Source organism: Homo sapiens, chromosome 10 (assembly GCF_000001405.40).
Source record: "Homo sapiens chromosome 10, GRCh38.p14 Primary Assembly".
Classification (NCBI taxonomy): domain Eukaryota; kingdom Metazoa; phylum Chordata; class Mammalia; order Primates; family Hominidae; genus Homo; species Homo sapiens.
The window spans coordinates 78991538-79011948 of record NC_000010.11 but is presented as its reverse complement, the minus strand read 5'-3'; the positions used below and the strand labels follow the sequence as shown (position 1 = coordinate 79011948).

The 20411-nt window shown below is 51.7% G+C and overlaps 1 long non-coding RNA gene across 3 annotated transcripts in view, besides 2 other annotated features; it reads left to right on the top strand.

The window, feature by feature from the left end:
- Positions 1–20411, top strand: part of ZMIZ1-AS1 (ZMIZ1 antisense RNA 1) — a 124123-nt gene that overhangs the window by 55500 nt on the left and 48212 nt on the right. The window lies entirely within an intron of this gene.
- Positions 2590–3090: an enhancer, noted in NCBI's record as "H3K4me1 hESC enhancer chr10:80768616-80769116 (GRCh37/hg19 assembly coordinates)". NCBI's record gives its function as "activates a minimal SCP1, AML or CMV promoter by ChIP-STARR-seq in naive H9 embryonic stem cells {active_cell/tissue: H9 hESC(naive)}" and the evidence as "EXISTENCE:reporter gene assay evidence [ECO:0000049][PMID:30033119]".
- Positions 14794–15293: an enhancer, noted in NCBI's record as "H3K4me1 hESC enhancer chr10:80756413-80756912 (GRCh37/hg19 assembly coordinates)". NCBI's record gives its function as "activates a minimal SCP1, AML or CMV promoter by ChIP-STARR-seq in naive and primed H9 embryonic stem cells {active_cell/tissue: H9 hESC(naive and primed)}" and the evidence as "EXISTENCE:reporter gene assay evidence [ECO:0000049][PMID:30033119]".

The following is a 20411-nucleotide window of genomic DNA, read 5'->3' as shown; positions in this document are numbered from 1 at the left end:
TTTGTTGTGCTATGGATTCTAAGGGTCACGAATTCAGAAAGGGCACAGCAGGGATGGCTTGTCTCCATTTCACAGTGTCTGGGACCTCAGTCTGGAAGACTGAGGCTGGGGGATGGGATCATCTGAAAGCTCTGTCAGTCACATGTGACAATTGATGCTGACTGTCAGCTGGAACCTCAGCTGTGACAGTCTCCTGGATCACCTATATGTAGCCTCTCCCAGTGGCTGCCTGGGCTTCCTCACACATGGTGGCTGCCTTCCAAGAATGAGCATCCCAAAGAGAACCAGGTGGAAGCTGCATCACATTTTGACCCAACCTCAGAAGTTGCATAGTGTCACTTCTGCTGTCATCACAACTATGCCCAGATTCAAGAAGTGTTAAAGTCCTATTGGAAGAAGAGTGTATGGGATGAGAGATATTGAAGCAGCCATTTGGAAAATGTGATCGGCCATAGGATAAATAGGCTGGAAATCAGATTCATTCATTTACTTACTCACTGGTTCAATCCACAAACCACATGGGATAGCAAGGACTGTGGTTCCCTACCAAATGCCACAGCCCCTGCCGGTTTGTTGTCTCCTTCATGTCAGTGCTGGCCCCACAGGGCTTTTAAGAACTGTTCCTTCCCCTTCTGTTTTTAGCCCCAGGGTAGTAGGGGCTCCCAATGTTGTGAACCGTGGGGTGCTTCACCAGCCCTTTCTGGAGTCTTTAACCCTGCTCCTACCTTTTAAAAAGTCCCTTCATTAGTTACTCCTCTGGAGTGACTTTTCTCTTCCAGGACTATCAGGATACACCATACGACACAGAAGGAGCCTGGGCTCCGAGTGCCTGAGGTCCCACAATAAATGCCCAGAAGAGGCAGAATTTAAAGGCTGCTGCCCTGGCTCTGCATCCTGTGCCCTTTTTCAGGGATCTGCTAGTGATGTGTAAGAAGGAAGAAGTTGTCAGCCCAGCTGAGCCCTGCCAAGTCCTGGAGCTAGTTCTTCTGGAGCCCTCCAGCACCCCCTCTTTGCATGCTGGACTCGATTGCTAACCAGGCGTGACCTTGTGTGTGGTATCTGCAGCCTGGGGCCCACCAGGCTCCTAGCACTTCCTGGGTCCACTAACCCAGGGATGGATGGCAGCGTGGGGTGAGTGACAGGCTCTCCCACATGTTCACATGTACCTGGGTCACTAAGTTTAAGAACACCATTGTTTCGCAGCTGGGCACTTAGGCTGGAGAGGTGAAGGGACTAGCCATGGCCACACAGCACATGAGTTGAGCATTTCCAGTCTGACATCCACTCTGCACATACCAATCTAGCCTCTTAGAGATTTTAAAGGGCTTTCATTTCTCACTTAATGAAGAGTAAGAGTGATGATGGTGATGGTGATGATGATGATGAGGACGGCAACAGTCTACTGAGCATTTACCATGTGCCAGGCACTTGGCATACATCATCTCATTTAATCCTCCTTCTTAAGAGTGCACGAAATTTCAGGAGGCCCTCCCTCTCAGAGCTGTGCAAGTGCAGAGGGGTTGTGGGGGTGAGCCCCTCATTAATGTTTGAACCAGGGGGGCATCGCATGCTCATCCTCGTCCTGGCCCTACTCACAACAATCCTGTGATGTAGGTGGTGTCTTGAGTGACAGCATCAAACCTCAGAGGTGAAGTGACTTGTTCTGGGGCACGTAATTGGTAAGAGGCAGAGCGGGTTTTTTTTGTTTTGTTTTGTTTTGTTTTAGAGAAGTCTCGCTCTTGTCCCCCAGGCTGGAATGCAGTGGTGCGATCTTGGCTTACTGCAACCTCCGCCTCCTGGGTTCAAACGATTCTCCTGCCTCAGCCTCCCAAGTAGCTGGGATTACAGGCGCCTGCCAACACCCCTGGCTAATTTTTGTATTTTTAGTAGAGACGAGGTTTCACCATGTTGGCCAAGCTGGTCTCGAACTCCTGACTTCAGGTGATCCACCTACCTTGGCCTCCCAAAGTGTTGGGATTACAGGCATGAGCCACCGCACCGTGCCCAGAGCGGTGGTTTGAACCAGGGTCTGATTGACTGTTAGTCTTATGTGCTTATGATGTCCTTTCCACCCAGCAATAAACGGAAACTCAAACAGATTGGGTGACTTGCCTCAGGCGACCGCAATGTAGGGGCAGCCTAAGGTACAGTCATTTGGGAAATGTTTGTTGATTGAATTAATGAGAAAGTGGCTCCTGAAGACAGGAAGTGAACTGGTAAGGAGGCCAGCGTGGAAGGCCCCAGGTGAGCAGAGCCTTCCACTTGGATGGCTTCCTGTTTACTTATTCTAGGGGAAAAAATAAAAATACAAATGGAACATTTGACAGCAAAGCAAGGCTGGGTGATAATTCTATTCCCAGATCAAATCACAGTGCAGGGAATGCGTTATCATCAACGCGATTACCTTGGGGGGAACAGAGACAGGGAGCTTTATTAAATGAGACAATCTTGCTAAAAGGAAGCCTTACATTAGACTTTGGGCCTTAAATAATATTAGTGTCAAGAGCTGACAAACATTCCTCACACCGCATCTGGGAGCGCACTGCCTCCCAGCGAGCGGCCTTTGTTGGGGTGGGGGGGCACCTGTGCTGGAGTGTCCCTGGCAGTGGTGGGTGGAGCAGCCCTCCTGGCTCAGTGGCCACACATTCCTGGGCTGTGGCTCTCTGGTCACTAAATAAAGAGTTCAGACCCTGCTTTTCTCTCAGGCCAGCAGGCACCTCCTTCCTGGTGATGCTGGGACCAGGGGACCCTCTGCCGCCCCACAAAGAGGGGGCCCTGTCTTTTCTACCCTGGGCACAATGATTTTGAAACTCAACAGGCCCCCAGTGGAGGCAAATAATTGATTTCCAGATGGGATTCCCCTCCCCTCCCAGATAGTGTGCCTGGGCTGCCCTGGCACAGTGCCTCTTCTCTTCCTTGTGCCTTGCTCCCTCGGCTCCATCTCCCCACCTCTCTCCCTCTCTGCACGTCTCTGTCTCTGCAGGCAGACCCAGAGCTCGCATCACCCAGTGGTTCAGGGCACAGTCTTTGAAGCCATGAAGGTCTGGGAGGTCTGGGTTCAAGTCCTGCCTCATCAACCCTGTGACCTTGGGCACGTTACTTTGTTTCTATGGTTGTAAGTATCCTTGTCTGTAAAATGGTTAACTAGTATCAACCCCACAGGTTTGTTCTGGGGACTGAATGAGTTAGTCTGTGTAAAGCTCCTATCCCAGTGCCTGGCATACAGGAAGTGCCGAAGTCATCTCCTCTCCACTCTGTCTTGGGTCCTGTTCCTGCCTGTCCCTCCTCCCTTTCACCACCCCTACATGCCCATCTCCCAGGAAGGATTATAGGTTGCTGGAAGGCAAACTTCTCCAGCCCATGGTGGGAAAAAAGCATTTCATGGGAGCTTTATTCCATGCAGACTATAGATCTGGGGGCTCCCAGAAGTCACCCAGTATAGCCTCTCTTATTATAGATGGGGAAACTGAGGTTCCAGACAGGGGCTGGAATGTGTCTGTGCAGATTTCCTCCTGCACAGGAGGAGGTAGATCTACTGATCTTGAATAGATCTTGAATAGATCAGTAGATCTTGAGTTCAATCCCTGCCTCTCCTTTTTCTCTCAACCATAGGATAAATTTATAGAATGATGGTAACAATAATAGTTCTAATTCAGCAAAAACTTAAGTGTGTGGGGCCCTGTGCTAAGTTGATGTGATGATATTGCCATATAACCAATGAGATGATGTTCCCAATTATAGAGGAGTAAACAGACTCAGGGTGGTTACTCAACAGGTCCAGATTGTACACTTAGTAGGTGGAGCCTGTACTGGAAACACCATCTGTCTCACACTGTGGCTGGCTCAGACACAAATAGCAGTTCCTGAAGCCACAAAGCAGAGGATGACCAATGGCAAGGCCAATGACAGCATGGGTCTTGGACTCCGTTTTTATTCTCTGTTGACCTTGAAGAAGTCAATTAACCTGTCTGAGTCTTGATTACGTCACTTATAAGGTGGAGGCGATGATTTGCAGGATAGTGCCCATGCTGATCATTGTGAAGCCCCTGGAATCTTGGGCTGAAGAGACTCTAGGGGTCATTCCATCCAACCCCTATTCCACTCCATGCCCAGGGGGATTAGGCAACTTGCTGGGTAGAAGCCAGAAGGGCTGGAGCAGGGATTTGGTCTGTGGCTGTAGGATGTCAGGGGTGTACTGTGTGATCACATGATTTTCAGTTCTTCTCTTAGAGCAGCTTGTGTCTTCCCAATACTGGCTCTGCCCGACTCCTCTGTGGCCCTGTCACCCTCCCTGCCAGGTGCTTCTGTGTCACTGCCACAACCACTCCACCACCCCTGGAGTAATGTCCCTCCTACTTAAAGAGGGAACTGGCAGAGCAGCAGGGTTAGGACTGGGCTGTAGGGAGCTCTGGGCTCCAGTCTGATGTTGATGGAGTGTCTGTATTCTGCAAGCCTCTTCCTGTTTCTGCCTCTCAGCATCAGAAGGCACGATGGTCTTATGTATTAAAAGCTGGGTAAGTTTATCTGTCTCCAGACTACAGTCTATGCATATCTCTGACATTTCTAGGCGTTGCACAGAACAGCAACTCATCATCAGGTGAGTTTGGGAAATGCTGGGTTAAAGTTCAGCAGCTTTTTCTCCCAACTCTTTTTTATTAAAATAATTGATTTAATTTCAGAGAAAATGCAGACTCACTGAGACACACACAAAGTGCAGAGTCATATAAAGCAAACATCGATCATCACCACTCTTCGTCGTTCTCACTTTGCAGAGCAAGCGATGTTTCCTCGCGTGTCTCTCTCTGTGCTTATAAAGTACATGTGGAAACACTCTCACACGCATATATAGGATGCTTAAGAAATTTGGTCTTGTTTTCTCCTGAAAGCCTTGTCTGGGCCTGGAATGTGCAATGGGCTCTCAGTCTTTAAGACCAGCTTTGCCGCGCAGCTTTCCCAAGTCCTGGGCCCTTTGTATCCACCGAGCGTCTTGGGGAAGCCTTTGGACAAGGCTGGACTGGACATCCTAATGGGCCTCGGTGACCCCAGGTCAGCAGGGGAGGCTCTAACAGCAGGTGGTGGGTACTGGGCTGCTGAGGATAAACTGTCTGTGAATAAGGACACTCATGGGCTCAACTGGCCAGCACCCTGGGAGTTGTCTCAGTTGTGGAAGCTCTGGGTCTGTGGGAGTGATGCCATTGCCAGGGGCCAGGGGCCTGGGGAGCTGGCCTGGCTTTTGCCTTGTCCTGGAGAGCGCAGTGAGTAGGCACTGCCTATAGGGAGCCAGGCAGACCAGATGAAAAGGGCAGTGCGCAGGTTGGTGCCTGTATCCAAGGAGGCGCAACAGGCCCACTCGGCCCCCAGGGGCCTCTCCCACCCCATGTCCCTTCTGATTTTAGGCTGGATAAATGATTTGTCATGGTGATTCCAGCAGAGCTTGCTCGCACTGAGCGGATTTATGCTCTGCTCATCACCTCCACCCTGAGGCCCCAGGGGTCAGGGACGTGCCTGGAGTAACAAAGGGAGTTGTTGGTGGGGCTGGCCCACACCCTGGGGCACAGGTGACTTCAGGTGGGCTACCATACTTTCTAGGGAGCCAGACTTCGGTGCCAGAAGACCTTGGTTTGAGTCCTTGCTCTTCCACCCAAAATGCAGATCTAAGAAACCTCCTAACTTCCTGTCTGGGTCTCCATTTCCCTAGCGGCTGGCACAGGTTCTTAGTCTTGTCTGGGTCAGGAACCCCTTTGAGGAGTGTGGAGCTGGTCCTCAGGGCCATGTGGAAACGCCCGCACAGCAGTGTTGTGTAGAGATTGGGGTGGGACTCGAGTGTCGTGGGTCATTTGTGAGGTCTATTGGGCTCATACTCTGTTCTGGGTTTGGGAGGATGGAGGTGATGGAGATGGAAGAAGAGCAAACAGGCGTTCTCTGGGAGCATCCAGCCTGGCTGAGGGGTCAAGATGCAGTCCTGGGAGGCATACGGAGACTGGCCGCATCCAGGCGAACATCAATGCAGGTGTGGTCCCAGCAGGGCCCCTGAAGGGATGGACAGGGTGGGAGATGAGGAGAGGGTGTCCTGGGAGAGGCACAGCACATTCAAAGGCACAGAGCTGATAAGGGGGCAGGTGTTAGGAGCCAGCCTAGATGGTTTTGCTGGGAAGGTGGCTTGGGAGCCACCAGAAATGAGGGGCTGCAGAGGTTCACCTCTGCTGTGGGCACAGCTCTCATTCAAGAACCAGGCGGTGGCAGCCACCCACCTCCACCATGGGGAGAGAACAGCACACTGGCCTCTATCCTTATGACAGGCTCCCACAGTCCAGAACCAATAGAGGGATAAACCTCACTAATCGTTAATTACCATCCGTGGTGCAATTTTATGACTTTCCAGATAAATGCTCTCTGAGGGAGTGTCAGCATTACGGACTCCTAGTTTAATGATCTGGGGTAGTGATTTAAGGGGTGGGGTCCCAGGTGGCTGGAGGATGGGAGCAAAAGCTGGTGGAGCCCCTCAGAATCGAGGCCAGGGCTCCTGTCTGGCCGGGGGCAGGGATGGCCTGAGCCGAGCATTGGCTGGAGTGCAGCTGGCTGCTCCTTCCTGCCGCTCTCCTGAGCTTATGCATCTAGAGAGCACACTCCCTGCCTGCTGGCTGCACCCTGTGACCCCCGGGCTCCAGCCAGGCATCATGAGACTTTTGGGAGTGGGAGGTCTGAGAGTCGTTCCATCTGCCAGCTGTGGGCTGCTACAGCTCACCTGTCTGGCAGCCTCACACCTGTTAGCTCTTCAAGGCAGGGTGCTCGTCAGGACTGCCCTCTCCCTTTCTCAGGACACATCTCCACCTCCCACATCCTACCTGCCCTTTTGCTGTTCTTTTCCCAGAAGCCCCTGCACATTGGGCAACCCCACTCCCAGCTCTATGTTGGTCTTCCCTGAACTAGGGACATTCCCAAGTCAGCCTGATTCCCTGCCCAGGCTGGAAGCCCAGGCTGGGGCGGTGGGGGACATCCCTAAATCTCCCAGAGCCAGACTTGTAGTGGGCACGTGGGCTTCCTCCATGTTCACTGCATTTAGGTTTCTTTTAGGGAGAAGGGCTGCCCCAGGTGGAAAAGAGCTGAGGTTGCCCCTCCCCGAGCCCTACTATGTGCTGTGTGCTGGACCCCAGGCCAGGCTCTTGCTATGCCTTTGCATAAGGTTAAGTGAAGGACTCTGGAGCCAGCCTCCTGGGCTCAATTCCCATCTCTGCCATATATAAATTTGGTGACTTAGACAAGAGACTTGACCTTTTTGTGCCTGAATTTCCTCACCTGTAAGTGCAGGTTACAGTCGTACCTACTGCATAGGTTTATTGTGAGGAACAAATGAGTCAACGCATGGAAAGTTCTTATTCTGGTTTCAGCACGTAGACTGGGCTCCTAGTTTGCTGTCATTAGCACATCTCCATGAATCCTTACAAACCCTAAGTGGATGCGCCTGGCTTGATGACAGACAGCACAGTGGCCAAAGGTTTGCATACCAGCCAGTCACCCATGCATAGATCTGGTGCTCAACCTATAGCAGGACCCGGGAACATTAAATTTCCTGAGCCTGAATTTCCTCCTCTGTAAAATGCCAATCATAATAATAATAGCAGCTGCTTCTTAGGATTACTGTTCTGATGACATAAGTTCATACCCATAAAGTAGGTCACAAAGTGCCCGGCACAAAGCAAGCTCTTAATAAAGCAAAGTATCGACACTCCCATTTGACAGATGGGAAACAAAGTCTCAGCGAGGGGAAGGGACTTACCCACCAGAGGTAGTCATTAAACTCAGTTTCATCTGAGTGCAAAGCCAAGGCATGCTCCTCTCTAGCCCCGCTCCACCGCCCATGGACAGGGGTCATGTTCAGACCTTCTCAGGCCCTGAAGCCCTCTCTTCAAGGGCTCATAATTGGAAAACCTTGACCACCCTCCTCCTGACCCAGCACACTTATTAGCTAGTTGAACCCGGGTGAATTGAAGTTGCCAAAGGCACCCTGTCTTCCAGGAAACAGGGCCAGCCAAGGCCACTCTGCTGACCTTGGTGGGTGTGACAGGTCCCTGGGTAATCAATCCCCTTTATGACCAAGGCCACCAATTTTCTCCCTCTTTGATTCCCTCTCCTGAAGCCTGGTGCATCCACTCAGCACCTGGTTAGGAAGCTAGGCCAATTTTCCTCCCTTTTGATTTCATTCTGCTCCTGTCTGGCTGCCCAGCCACATGGAGAGTTTGTCAAATGGAATTTCTGTCTCTTGCGGCCGCCCTGCCCTCTGCAGAGTGCTGAACGGGCAGGCAGGATCACCCGGCTCAGTGCCGCAGACATCACTCTCTTGTGATAAGGGCCAGTGCGCACCCTTGAAGGAGGAGCCTGTCATTCTTCACAGTCACCAGGCAGCTGGCGGGTAAGGCCACCTCGCAGACTCAGAGTGGGGGCACAGGATGGCAGCAGACAGCGGGGGCGGCTGGCAGCAGTCCCTTGAGCCCACAGGCTTGGGAGGAGGCAGCTTTGGGTCCCACAAAGGGCAGGGCATAGGGTTGCTGGAATAACAGAGGTCCCTGCCGCTGCTCATCCACATGGCCCAGCATCAGCACGAGATACTACTGGAATGAGGCAGCTCAAACTCAACTCTCGGCTGCCACCAATGCTTTTTTTTTTTTTTTTTTTTTTTTTTTTGAGAAGGAGTCTCGCTCTGTTGCCCAGGCTGGAGTGAAATGGCACGATCTCGGCTCACTGCAGCCTCCGCCTCCTGGGTTCAAGCAATTCTCCTGCCTCAGCCTCCTGAGTAGCTGGGATTACAGGCCCCTGCCACAATGCCTGGCTGATTTTTGTACTTTTAGTAGAGACGGGGTTTCACTATGTTGGCCACGCTGATCTCAAACTCCTGACCTCAGGTGATCTACCCGCCTCGGCCTCCCAAAGTGCTGGGATTACAGGCGTGAGCTGCTGTACCCGGCCAGCTGCACCATTGCTAATAACCATTAAGTCACATTTCATCACACGTAGGTGCCAAACTTGAGGCTTTTGAAATATGCCTGTGTATTCTTTGACATGCCTCCCCTTGAATGTGGGCTGGACTTAGTGACTTGACTTGCTGTCTCCCCTTCTCCAGGCAAGGGGGGAACCCCAGGCATCATAGAAATAACAGCAATCCTTGCTGCTATTCCCCAAACCCCTACTGTAGGCCAGGGACTGGGCTAGGTGGCTACCTGTGGCCTGTTAGTGACTCATTTGATCCTCAACCCCACCAGTGGGGTAGCTGATATTATTAACATCCCCATCTCAAAGATGAGGAAACTGAGGCGCAGAAAGGTTAGCAAATCACTCATGGCATCAGCTTGTAAGTCACAAAGCCAGGGTTGAGCCTCCGTGGCTTGGCCCCAGGGCTTTTCTTAGCCACTGTAATACCCAGTCACAAGGACACTCCCTGCGGGGCAACTGATTGTGCAGCTGAGAGGAGCCAGTGGAGGAGAAAAAGCTAAGAGGTTCCTGAAGGGTGGAGGGTCAACCTCTTTTCTGGAGGAGGATGAGGAAAGCCTTGACTGAGAGATAGGGAGGACTGGGGAGGTCACAGAGGGACCTGTGGGCACAGGGTCTCTGGAAGCTGCCCTGGGAATTCTTGGCTGAACTGTGTGCAATAGAAATCTTTTTTCTTTCTTTCTTTCTTTCTTTCTTTCCTTTTTTTTTTTCCTTTTTCTTGAGACAGGGTCTCTGTCACCCAGGCTGAGTGCAGTGGTGTTATCAAACTCACTGCAGCCTCAATCTCCCAGGCTCAAGCAATCCTCCCACCTCAGCCTCCCAAGGAGCTGGGACTACAGGCATGCATCACCATGCCCAGCTAATTTTTTTGACTTTTTGTAGAGATTAGGTCTTGCTATGTTGCTCAGGCTGGTCTTGAACTCCTGGACTCAACTGATCCTCCCGCCTCAGCCACCCAAAGTGCTGAATTACAGGTGCAAAGGAAATCTTTAAAGCAAAATGCCAAGGAAATACTGTTTGAGTAGGACTGTACCATTTATAATCAGTTTCCACAGCCATCTTAGGGAACTCTCACCTCTCCCTGGGTATGCCACCCACCCAGTCCCCCAGACAAGATTCTGGGGATCTGCTGGACACTTCTTGTCTTTCAGGTGCTCTAATTTTACCAGCCACCATGCAGTCCTGCCTCTTGGGTGCCCTAATTCTTCTGGGCAGTCCTGCCTCCTACCCACCCCTTGGTTCTGGTTCTGCCCACTTCCTTCCCACTCCACTGCTCCCACCCCACCGCCAGCCACTGCCACCTCCTGCCTGCTGGGGACACTGACATCACCTCTTGGCTGCTTTTCTCTACCCAGTTGCTCTTCCCTCTGACCACTTCTTCCCTGAAGGGACCTTCCTACATCACAATTGAAACAATTCTCCTTCCTTGCTTACAATTGCTCACTGACTCATGTGGTATTCAAGTCCAAATCCCTGAGCATGTTTTTGAACTGGAAAAATGACAGGGGGCAGTGGTGGTAATCAGAGCAGGCTTCCTGGAGGAAGTGACAACTAGGCTGAAGGATGAGTGAGTGTTCATGCCACATGATGTGCAGGAAAGGCACTCTGGGACAGCAGCAGCAGAGGACCTTCCTGGAGATGTCTCCCATACCCTCGGTCCCCCATGCCTGTGGGATTTTCAAGAGGAAGCAGAGCTGTGGGGCCATGCTTCCCATTGTGCAATATGGATGTTCTGGGAAATACCACAGGAGGGTGGAAGGGCAGGCGATCGTCCACACAGGAAGGGGGCATGCAGGGCTGGATTTGCTGAGCCGAGATAAGCGGCCCCAGAGGTGCTCCAGAGAGGAAGCCCCCGAGCTCGGGAGCCTCATGCGTGCAGGCGATAGCATGGGTTTGGAATGCACAGGTATTGACCAAAGCCACCATGCACAGACTGGACAGAAAATGGCTGGTGGGGGCTGGCTCTTGGGGAGCAAGACAACATCGTGCAGAGGAGAGAAGGGACTCTGGTTCTCTTTCTCAGGGGGCCCACAGAGAACTCAGTGGACTCATGGCTGAAAAGAAGGGGTCCACACTCTGTTTTTAACACCATCTATTTGTAGTTGGGAGACTCACCGTGCAGCCATGAGGCAGGGCTGGGTGGGGGCCATGCCATGCCCCTGGAGCTGGGACACCTAAGCTCAGCATGTATCTAGAAAACAAGACTGGTCCAGCGTAATGGTGCGAGATGAACCAATTCCTCTACGTGGCAATTTGTCACAAGCACAGCCCTCAACTCACGGGGTACCAGGGACCCAGGAAGAAGTGGACTTGGCACCAATGAGGATGCTTCTGCTGCAGATCTCTAGGTGCCAGCTGCTACTGATATGTGATGTTGGGCAGCCGCTTCTCCTTTTGGGGACCTCAGTCTCCCCATCTGTGATTTTTGAATCTTAATAATAACCCTTCTGCCTCCTAAGACAGTTGGAGGATCAAATAGGATAATGGAGGTGAAGTTACATAGGTATTTGGTGAGCCGTGTGCCAGCCATCATTGTGGGTGCTGGAGATAAGCATGCCCACACAGCTCATGGCCAGGTAGCTGTCACTGCAGGTGCTGGCCTCAGCCCTCACACAGTTCATGGTCTGTTAGGAAGGCAGACAAGTCACCTGAATGGCCCTTGCTCATCCAGTGGCCTTCAGGCATTGCTGGTTGGAAGCCTGGTATGTGTTGGTGAGAGTCAGAACTTGACAAATACTTCGTGTTTGCGCACAGTGGAGAGGAACGGGGTCTCACCTGGAGGACTTGGCTGTGACCCCAAAATAGTGAACCAGATGCAATCATGGATCTTAGGAAGAGTCCCAGAAGTTAGTAGTCCCATCAAAGAATGCAAAAGTGGAGGTCCATACCATATCATACCCTCATTCCACTTACATCTCTTGTTCATGCAATGCCAAGTGGAACAAGAATGATGGTGAACTGCCACCTCCTCTAAGAAGCATTCATGGATTTCCCCTGCGATGAGTAGATTATAACCCCTGGGAGCACCATGACTCCCAACAAGGGCCCCGCCGAGAATACATGTGTACATCCTTGTCTCGTTTAGCTCAGGGACACCTTGAGACCCTTACCTGTCCTGCCAAACACGGGGCCTGGTCCAGCCCAACCCTTGTCTCAGCCTGGCCCAAAAGCAAGGACTGGGCTGGGTTATTATTCCTTGTGTCTGCACCAGTGCCCAGCACAATGCCGGGCACAGCTGTCAAACGATTGGCTTAAAGGTTCTAGGGCAAGTGTAGGCAGTAGCCTGCTCTGGGCCCATGCATGGAGAAGTGACTGGTTCCGAGTGCCAAGGAAGGGGAGCACAGAGTCACTGGTGGCCCCTGGTCAGAATTGTGAGCCTGAGCGACTGGGAAGTCAGGTTCCCCAAAGGGGGGCTTTCAGATACATTAGCCCACTATGGGAAAATTAGAATTTCCACATGTAGATAGCAGCTAATGGAGACCCTCATTACTTGTCATAGCATTAATTTTAGGAGATAGTCCTGGTGCACATTAGGAGGCTATTTTAGTACCAACGAATTAGATACCTTTATTAGCCATCAGAGGTGAGGGAGGTAATGAAGTACTCGAGGTAGAAGGGAGAAATCGCACTTCACCTTGGATCTAGTCATTTCCCCCGTGTTTCGGTGGTGTCAGCTCATCCGTCAGGCACTGCCCACAGCCTGGTGGGGTCTTGGTCAGTCTAGAGCCCAGGTGGGCAGGCAGAGGAGAGTCTGCATGGGTGATCTGATCTGAGCGCACATTGGCCCTGGCATGGTGTGCAGGAATGTGGCATTCAAGTGTGTGTGTATGTGTGTATACACCTGTGTGTGCATGTGTGTGTGAGGAGTAAGTGGGCTTCTGTGCATAGGTAGGTGCATAAACAACCTTCTAATTAGCTGGAGGAAAACAGAATGGGCTGCCTGTGGAGTAGCTACCCCCTGCCATCTGAGGCCCTGGCAGCTGACCTCTTCGGACTCTTGTAAGGGAAGAGGGACACTGTAGAGGTGGTGGAGAACTCTCAGCCTTGAGAGCCCAAGACTTTTGATCTCTGTGTGGGGATCCAGGAGACCCAGCTCCTACTCACAGCACGAGCATCGCCTGGTGCTTGAGTAGCCCCACTGTTCCCTTGGAGCCTCAGCTTCTCCTGCCCAGGGGGTTTTAGACTGATGCCCTCCAGCTGCTTCCCAGGAAACCAGGGTGGTCTAGTTTAAGTCCTCTCTGTAGGGCTTGTGTATGGATAGCTCACCCTTGGCCACCTCCTGGGCCCCTCAGGCCAGCTTTCAGGTCTCCTGTTCCCACAGGCTGGGACAATCAGACCTGCTCTGAGGTCTCTGCTCCTCTCCCGGGGGCTGCTGGATTGGGCAGTGATGCTTCAGGAATGCCCATGTTGTGCCCTTTTAGCATCCGTGCCCCCCACCAAACCTGCCACTTTCTGATTTCCTCTTGACTTTTGGGAGAGATGATGAAACTGTGAGGATTGCAGCTTCCCTGATAAACAAACAGATGTGGCAATTCCCCTCCACCCTCACGAAGGTGTAGAGCCACGTGGAGAGGCCTGGTTTTCAGGACTTGCTGAATTGTGGGAAGGGAGGTGAGTGCACTCCTGGGGTGCACTCTGATAGCCCTCAGTGCTCCTTCTGGCCCCCAGGGCCTGTGAGCCCCCATAATCATCCTGGCTCTTATGGACACAGACTTTACAGTTTACCAGGGACTTTCTCTTTCACTTGTGCCTGAACTGTCAGTGGCCTGGCAGCAGCCTCAGCTCACTGGAACGAGGAAGACACAGTGGGTGAGAGACTGAGCTGGTCTATTCTACAGCCCCCTCGTGCACCCTCGGGGGCTGCACCCCACTGTGGCTGCCCTGTCTGCTTGTCCTGCAGCCTTGGGATTTCACCTGGCAGATGCTAAGAGTTGCTAAAGGGGGTGTGAGCTGGGTAGTGGCATGGAGGGGCAGGGAGACAGTGTCTTTGGAGGCTTTGGAATCACACAGACCTGGGCTCACTTGGCTGTGTGACCTTGGGGGGATTGCTTCATCTTCCTGGGCCTTCCTTTCTTCACCTGTGAAATCTTGTCAGGAGGAAAGGAGAAGGGCCCTGGGCACATTCCTGGCACTTCAGGGGTATGTCACACACAGCGATTCTTGCTCCACTCCCTTCCTCTTAAAATAGTGGATTCGAATAGGCCTTGGGCCTTCTTTGCCAGGAAAGTCAGGGGAGCTGGTTTGCCTGTGGGAACTCTAGCTTCATTACCCACTGCCCCCTGTCACTTTGAATTCTATTGTTGAGGCCTCGTGGGAAGCCCTGATGGTCCCATATTGATCAGAGAGGCTGAGGTGGGTGGAGCACAGAGCTAGGGCAGGCAGACGGTATAGAGGAAGAAGTATAGCCCTCAGCCCCTGTATGAGTTCTTACGGGGCTTAAGTGGTTCAGTGAGGCCACTGGTCACTTTTGTCTTTTAGTTCCATGTCATATCTCCCTGTCGGATGGGGAGGGGCTCCCTGAAGGCAGGCAGGGCAGTGGCTGCTGCATCACTTGCTGTCTGTGGCCCAGATGGGTGCCTGACATTTGGTGGTGGTTTGCTGAATGCACAAACAAATAAATTCAGCAGCCAATGAGGGTCTCAGGGACCTTGCGGATTCAGGGAGTTAGTCCTGGCCAGGAACTTAGGGTTCATTCATGCTCTCGTCTGAACTGAGGTCCAGGGGAAGTTTCTGGGGCAGACAGAGGACTCAGTGGACCAGAGTAATGCAGACTGGAGAAGGGCTCAGAGCCAAAGAGTTCAGGGGCTTGTGGGAGCCCAGCCTGGACTCAAGGGTAGAGGAGGGAATGGAGGGTAGGAAGTAGCTGGATGGAGTGGTGAAGGGCAAACGAGAGGGCTCGGGGTGGGGCAGTGTCTTCTAAGCACACAGCAGCCCAGCAGTGAGAGTGCAGCCACATTTGGGATACTGTGCAAAGTTTATCAGGCTCTGGAACTGCCTGGCCACAGAGTGAAGTGTGGATGGAGCCAATACTGGAACACCCTCTGGTCAGCCTCTGTAAACTTATTTCACCATCCACCCTACCCATGTCCCAAAGCCTGGATGGCCAGGAGGGGCTGTGGCCAAATACCTTTCTCATGATCATCCATGGGTTGGACGAGAGAATGGGAGGCAAGGCTCCTTCAGGCCCTGGGACCCCACCGAGGATGAGATCCAGTCCCCTGGACACAGCACACAGGGTTGCAGATGGCCTCTGCCTGCAGGCCTCACATGCAGACACCCCCCGACCCACGGCTTTGTTTCCTCTGAGTGGTGATGTGGAGGGGAGGAGGGAGGCGTGGGCAGCCTCCACACATGGCGGCAAATTTGGGCCATTGATTTGCATTTATTTCCTGCTCAAATGATCCAGGCCGGCTGCCGCTGGGGGTGGGGGCGGAGGGGGTGCTCTTTAGCATTTTAAGTTTGCAGATAATTGGAGGAAAATAACTCCAATAATGAAATCACTGCTGGATCGCATTCTGATACGTGACAAATCAATTCATTTATGATACCTTCTTTGTCACACTGAGCCATTCTGGCGCTCAGTGGAAACCTCTTAAATTAATAAAACTGTTAAATCCATAAAATCCTCCGTTCTGAGTAGCACATCACAGCACAAGTTTGAATCATTAAAGGAATAAAACTGATAAATGTGAGCTGGGGAGTGTCTGTGTCTGCAAAGAGGGGCTGGCTTTTAAGACAGATACAATGTAATAGTCATAAGCTCCAATATATCCTCACTCTGTGTAGCAGGAGGGGGGAGGGGTCGGGGCCATCTGCATCTTCCAGGGGGAAGGCTGGTGGGTACAGGCCTAGCCAGCACGGGGCAGGCTGCTTTAGTGGTGATATGTGGGACCTTATGCTTTTAAATAAAATATGATTTAATAGGAAAGAGAAAAATATAAAGCCTTTATTGGACACTGTTGAACCTGACTTAGCTCTACAAGGATTTTCCAAAATAGCCATACTTGTCTGAAAGGGGAAGGGATGGCACAGTCTCTGAGATCACATAGTGGCCAAGGAGTGGGAGGCGTGGCAGGTAGGACGAGGGGAAGAGGGCAGACCAGCAGGCTCAGGCAGGGTGGGTGGCCTCCAGCTGGACTGCTTGCTGGCTGTGTGACTCTGGGCAGGTTGCTGTACTTCTCTGAGCTTCTCTGTTTCCTCAACTGTAAGTGGGGATGGGGATACTGATTTCATAGAGTGGAGTACATCAGATAAGGCATGAGAAAGAGCTGTGTAAACCGTAAAGTACAAGAGGTGGTCAGTTAATGGTCATTTCTGAACATGGTTCCAACAGGTAAAAGTTCCTGCAGTTCTCACCACACAGGGTTGGACTTCTTTTGGTGTGTTGCATGTGGGTCAAGCAGGATGATTCTGATGGAGTGAACTGCAAAGTTCTGTGCACAGGAAGCGCATCACATACCCCCCTGCAGTGCACTCCATTAGTGCATGTTCCCCTTAAGATGCACAGAACGAAGAATGAGCCCTGACATCCCCTATTCAGTCTGGTTGGGCTCAGGGAAACCAGCTGAGAGGCCGCCACACAGAAAACAGCCAATGCAGGCTCGTGTTCCTCCCTCCATGGGAGTCCAGTTTGGAAAACACTTAGAGGAGTGTTTAGGGAGCTCCCTCTGTGCCAGGCACTGGGCAAGGGTGGGCAGGTGGTGGGAGGCACATGGAGGTGAGTGAGATCCCGCCTACCCTTTGAGCCTCATGTGGCCTCCTCCTTGTCTGTTTGCCTTTCTTTTTTCTTTTTTTTTAGAGACAGGGGTCTCACTCTGTTACCCAGGCTGGAGTGCAGTGGTGCAGCTATAGCTCACTGTAGCCTTGAACTCCTGAGCTCAAGCTCTTCTCCCGCCTCAGCCTCCCGAGTACCTGGGTATTCCAAAATGGCCATACTTGTCTGAAAGGGGAAGGGACGGCCCAGTCTGTGAGATCACATAGTGGCCAGGGAGTGGGAGTATTGGCAGGTAGGATGAGGGGAAGAGGGCAGTGTACACCACCACACCCGGCTAATGTTTTTTGTTTGTTTGTTTGTTTGTTTGTTTTGTAGAGGCTAGGTCCCACTATGTTGCCTAGGCTGGTCTCAAATGCCTGGGCTCAAGCATTGCTCCAGCCTTGACTTCCCAAAGTGCTGGGATTACAGCCGTGAGTCACCGTGCCCTGTCTTCCATTTGCCTTTTATGCCAATGAGACTAGAAGCTCCCTGAAGCCATCTGGGCTTTCTCCTTTCCTCACCTCCTCCAGGGTCTTCTTCTGTAAACTTTGGGTCCATGCAACCTAGAACAGATGGAGTGTTCAGCCCCCATTCTGGAAACTAAGCGTGCATCCAGTGGGGCAGCTTTGAAACTTTACTCGCAATAAGAAAAACTTTGCATTGCACTCTGGTACACATGCACATGCTATAAATATATCATTGGGACAAAATTTTTAGGAAACAGTGTTTACCTAAATGTAATGCACATGATTCGATTCGATTTGATTCTGTTCTGTTTTGCTATATTCTATCCTATCCTGTACCCAGGTTTTAGAATGCGATCTTCATCTGCTAAATGGGTTTTGTGCTCCACTAATGGGATGTGTCCCATAGTTTGGAAAATTCAGATCTGGTCTACCTGCTCAGTTTTCTGAGAAGGGTCTTACCAAAGGCTACACAAGAATGACTACCCCCACTCCCCAGGCTGGGTGGGGCCCAAGCCTGAGTCCCCCAGGCCATCTGCCCTTCACTGCCACTCCTGTCCGTGGCTCCACCTGAGCCCCTCCAGAACCCTTCCCAATGGTCACTCCGTGCAGGACTCAGAGACTCTAGAGGGGAAATGGACAGGGAAGCTGTCACCAGCAGCCTCTGTCCACCATCTTAAAAAAAGAATGGAAGTGATGATGCAGCTCACCTGCCCTCTCCATCCCACAGAAATCAAAGGGGGTTGGGGGCAGGGAGCCCGTGCCCCTGGCATAACGAGCCATGTGGGCCAGAAACCTGACAAGCCTTTGCTCCCCGCACGTGTCAGGAGTTCTTGACAGCCAGCAATGGGAGCACTAATTGCTAGCCAGGGTGAGGGTGGCAGCTCCGCAATCCCTATCAATTATGGGCATTGGCCATGGCTGTGAGACAAAAAGGTTCCTTGGAGGCTGTCAGGCCCCAGTGTCATTACTCGGGTCTGCTGTGCCTGCTGGAGGCAGGACAGAAACAATGGCCACCCGCCACCCCCCACTGCCTCGGTGGGCTGGCCCTGGGCTTGCAGTGCAGGGTCTGACAGTTGTAGGGGGAAACGTGAGGCCCGCCTGGCCTGCCTTGATGTTTTGGCACTGGGCTTGTCACCCTGGGCACTGATGGGCCACTATCACCTCTCTTAGGAAGGGAAAACTTCAGGTCAGGTGTTTTTGTTTAATCAATTTTTTTTCCTTGTGGGGAAACCGAAAGGACTCATCACAACTGGTGGTTTTCAAACTAAGAACTGCTTTGGGAAACGGAGAGGCTGAGTGGGTGACATTCAGGATTCCCATCCCATGGTCAGGTTAAATCTGTTTCTCAAATCAGTCATTGGCTGAAGCCTCAGCATTGGCTCTTAAACTTTGATCAGCTTCAGAGGCACCTGCAGGGCTGGTTAGAAGAGATTGTGGGTCTGGGGTGGGGCCATGATCTATGTCTGTAACCAGTTCCCAGGTGCTGCTACTGGTCCAGAGACCACACTAGGAGACCAAGTTCTTCTCAATCTCCGTGTCGTGCACTGTGTATATCTGGGGAACTTTTTCAAAATACACATGCTGGGGTGACAGTCCAAACCCAGAATCAAAATGTTCAGACCGTTGCTGGGGCCCAGGGAGTCAGATACCCCTCAGTGCTGCTTACCCAAGTTGCTGGAGGAGGTCATGAGGGATATCTTGTCCTACTGAAGGGCAGGAAATGCTTTTTCAAGATTTAGAGTTGTTTGGATAGGCAAGGGCTGCCTAGAAAGAGCTAGGCCCCTGGTGCTGGAGGGGCCCAAGCCTAATTTGGGCCACTAACTCTTGTAGGCTGTGCTAGAAGGGCCCCTGAATATGATAGAGGTTGGATGGGGGACTCTGAGTTTCTCCTCCCTCAAGTCTGAGCAGGGGAGATTTGGGGATATTGAGTTTGGGCTGGAGCTGGGCTTGGAAGTCTTCTCTTCCATGTCCCAGGATGCCCCACGGCATCATTGTTGAGTTTCCCACCACATTTGCTTCATGATCTCCAGCATTTTGGGCACCATCTCACCCACCCCCACAGATCCTACCTCCCCCTCCCCTGTGAGAGAAGCGGGGCAATCAGTGGCACTTCATTAGCATATGAGGAAACTGAAGCCCAGGGAGGTTAAATGACTGGTCTAGGGGCCCGCTACACTTCCTGCGAGTCCCCTGAGGGGAAGGAGCCTAGACCGCACAGCGCAGGTGGTGATGGGATGCAGACTGAGCCCAGCACAGCTGAGTGAATGATGGCAGGTGCCCGAGGTGAAAGACAGACTCCTGGGGCCTGGTAAAGCAGCTGCTGAATTGTCCTCAGCCTTGGGGGTCTGGGGGATTTAGGGTCCAGGGCCTGATTAAGACACTTTCTGGGGCTAAAGTTTGTCTGTGGCCTGGGGGGTCTCGGTGCTCCTGGAAGTTGGGTCCAGCCCTCTGTCCTTCCATGGGGCCTACCCCCAGGGTCTCCCACCGCCCCTTCTACATGCTTGCACCTTGCTGTAGCATTTTTAGGAAAACAGTTTTATCAAGTTATAATTTACATAGCATGAAAGTCATCCACTGAGTGTTCCGCTTGATGAGTTTTAGTAAATCTTTACAGTTGTGCAGTGTCACCACAATTCCAAATGTTCCCTCAGGTCTGCTTGCAGCTGGTCCCCACTCCCACCCTCTACCTCAGGAAAATTAAGCATCCACTTTCTCTGTATATAGTTTTGTCTTTTCTAGAACATTTTGTATAAATGGAATCATGCAATAAATAATCTTTTGTGTCTGGCTTCTTTAATTTAGCATAATGTTTCTTAAGTATATTCATGCTGTTTCATATATCAGTACTTTATTCCTTCTTATTGCAAAGTAGTTTATGAATGTATGGCCACACCACACTTTATTTATCTAGTTCATGGACATTTGGATTATTTCTAAGTTTTGACAACTTCCAATAATGCTACCATGCGCATGGTGGTTCATGCCTGTAATCCCAGCACTTTGGGAGGCTGAGGTAGGAGGATCGCTTTAGCCCAGGAGGTGGAGACCAGCCTGGGCAACATAATGAGACCCTGCCTCTAAAACAATAAAAAAAAAAAAGTGCTATGATGAACTTTGCATATAAGTCTTTATGTGGACATATGTTTTCCTTTTTCTTGGGTAGATACCCAGGTGTCATGGGAAAGTGTGTGCTTAACTTTTTAAGA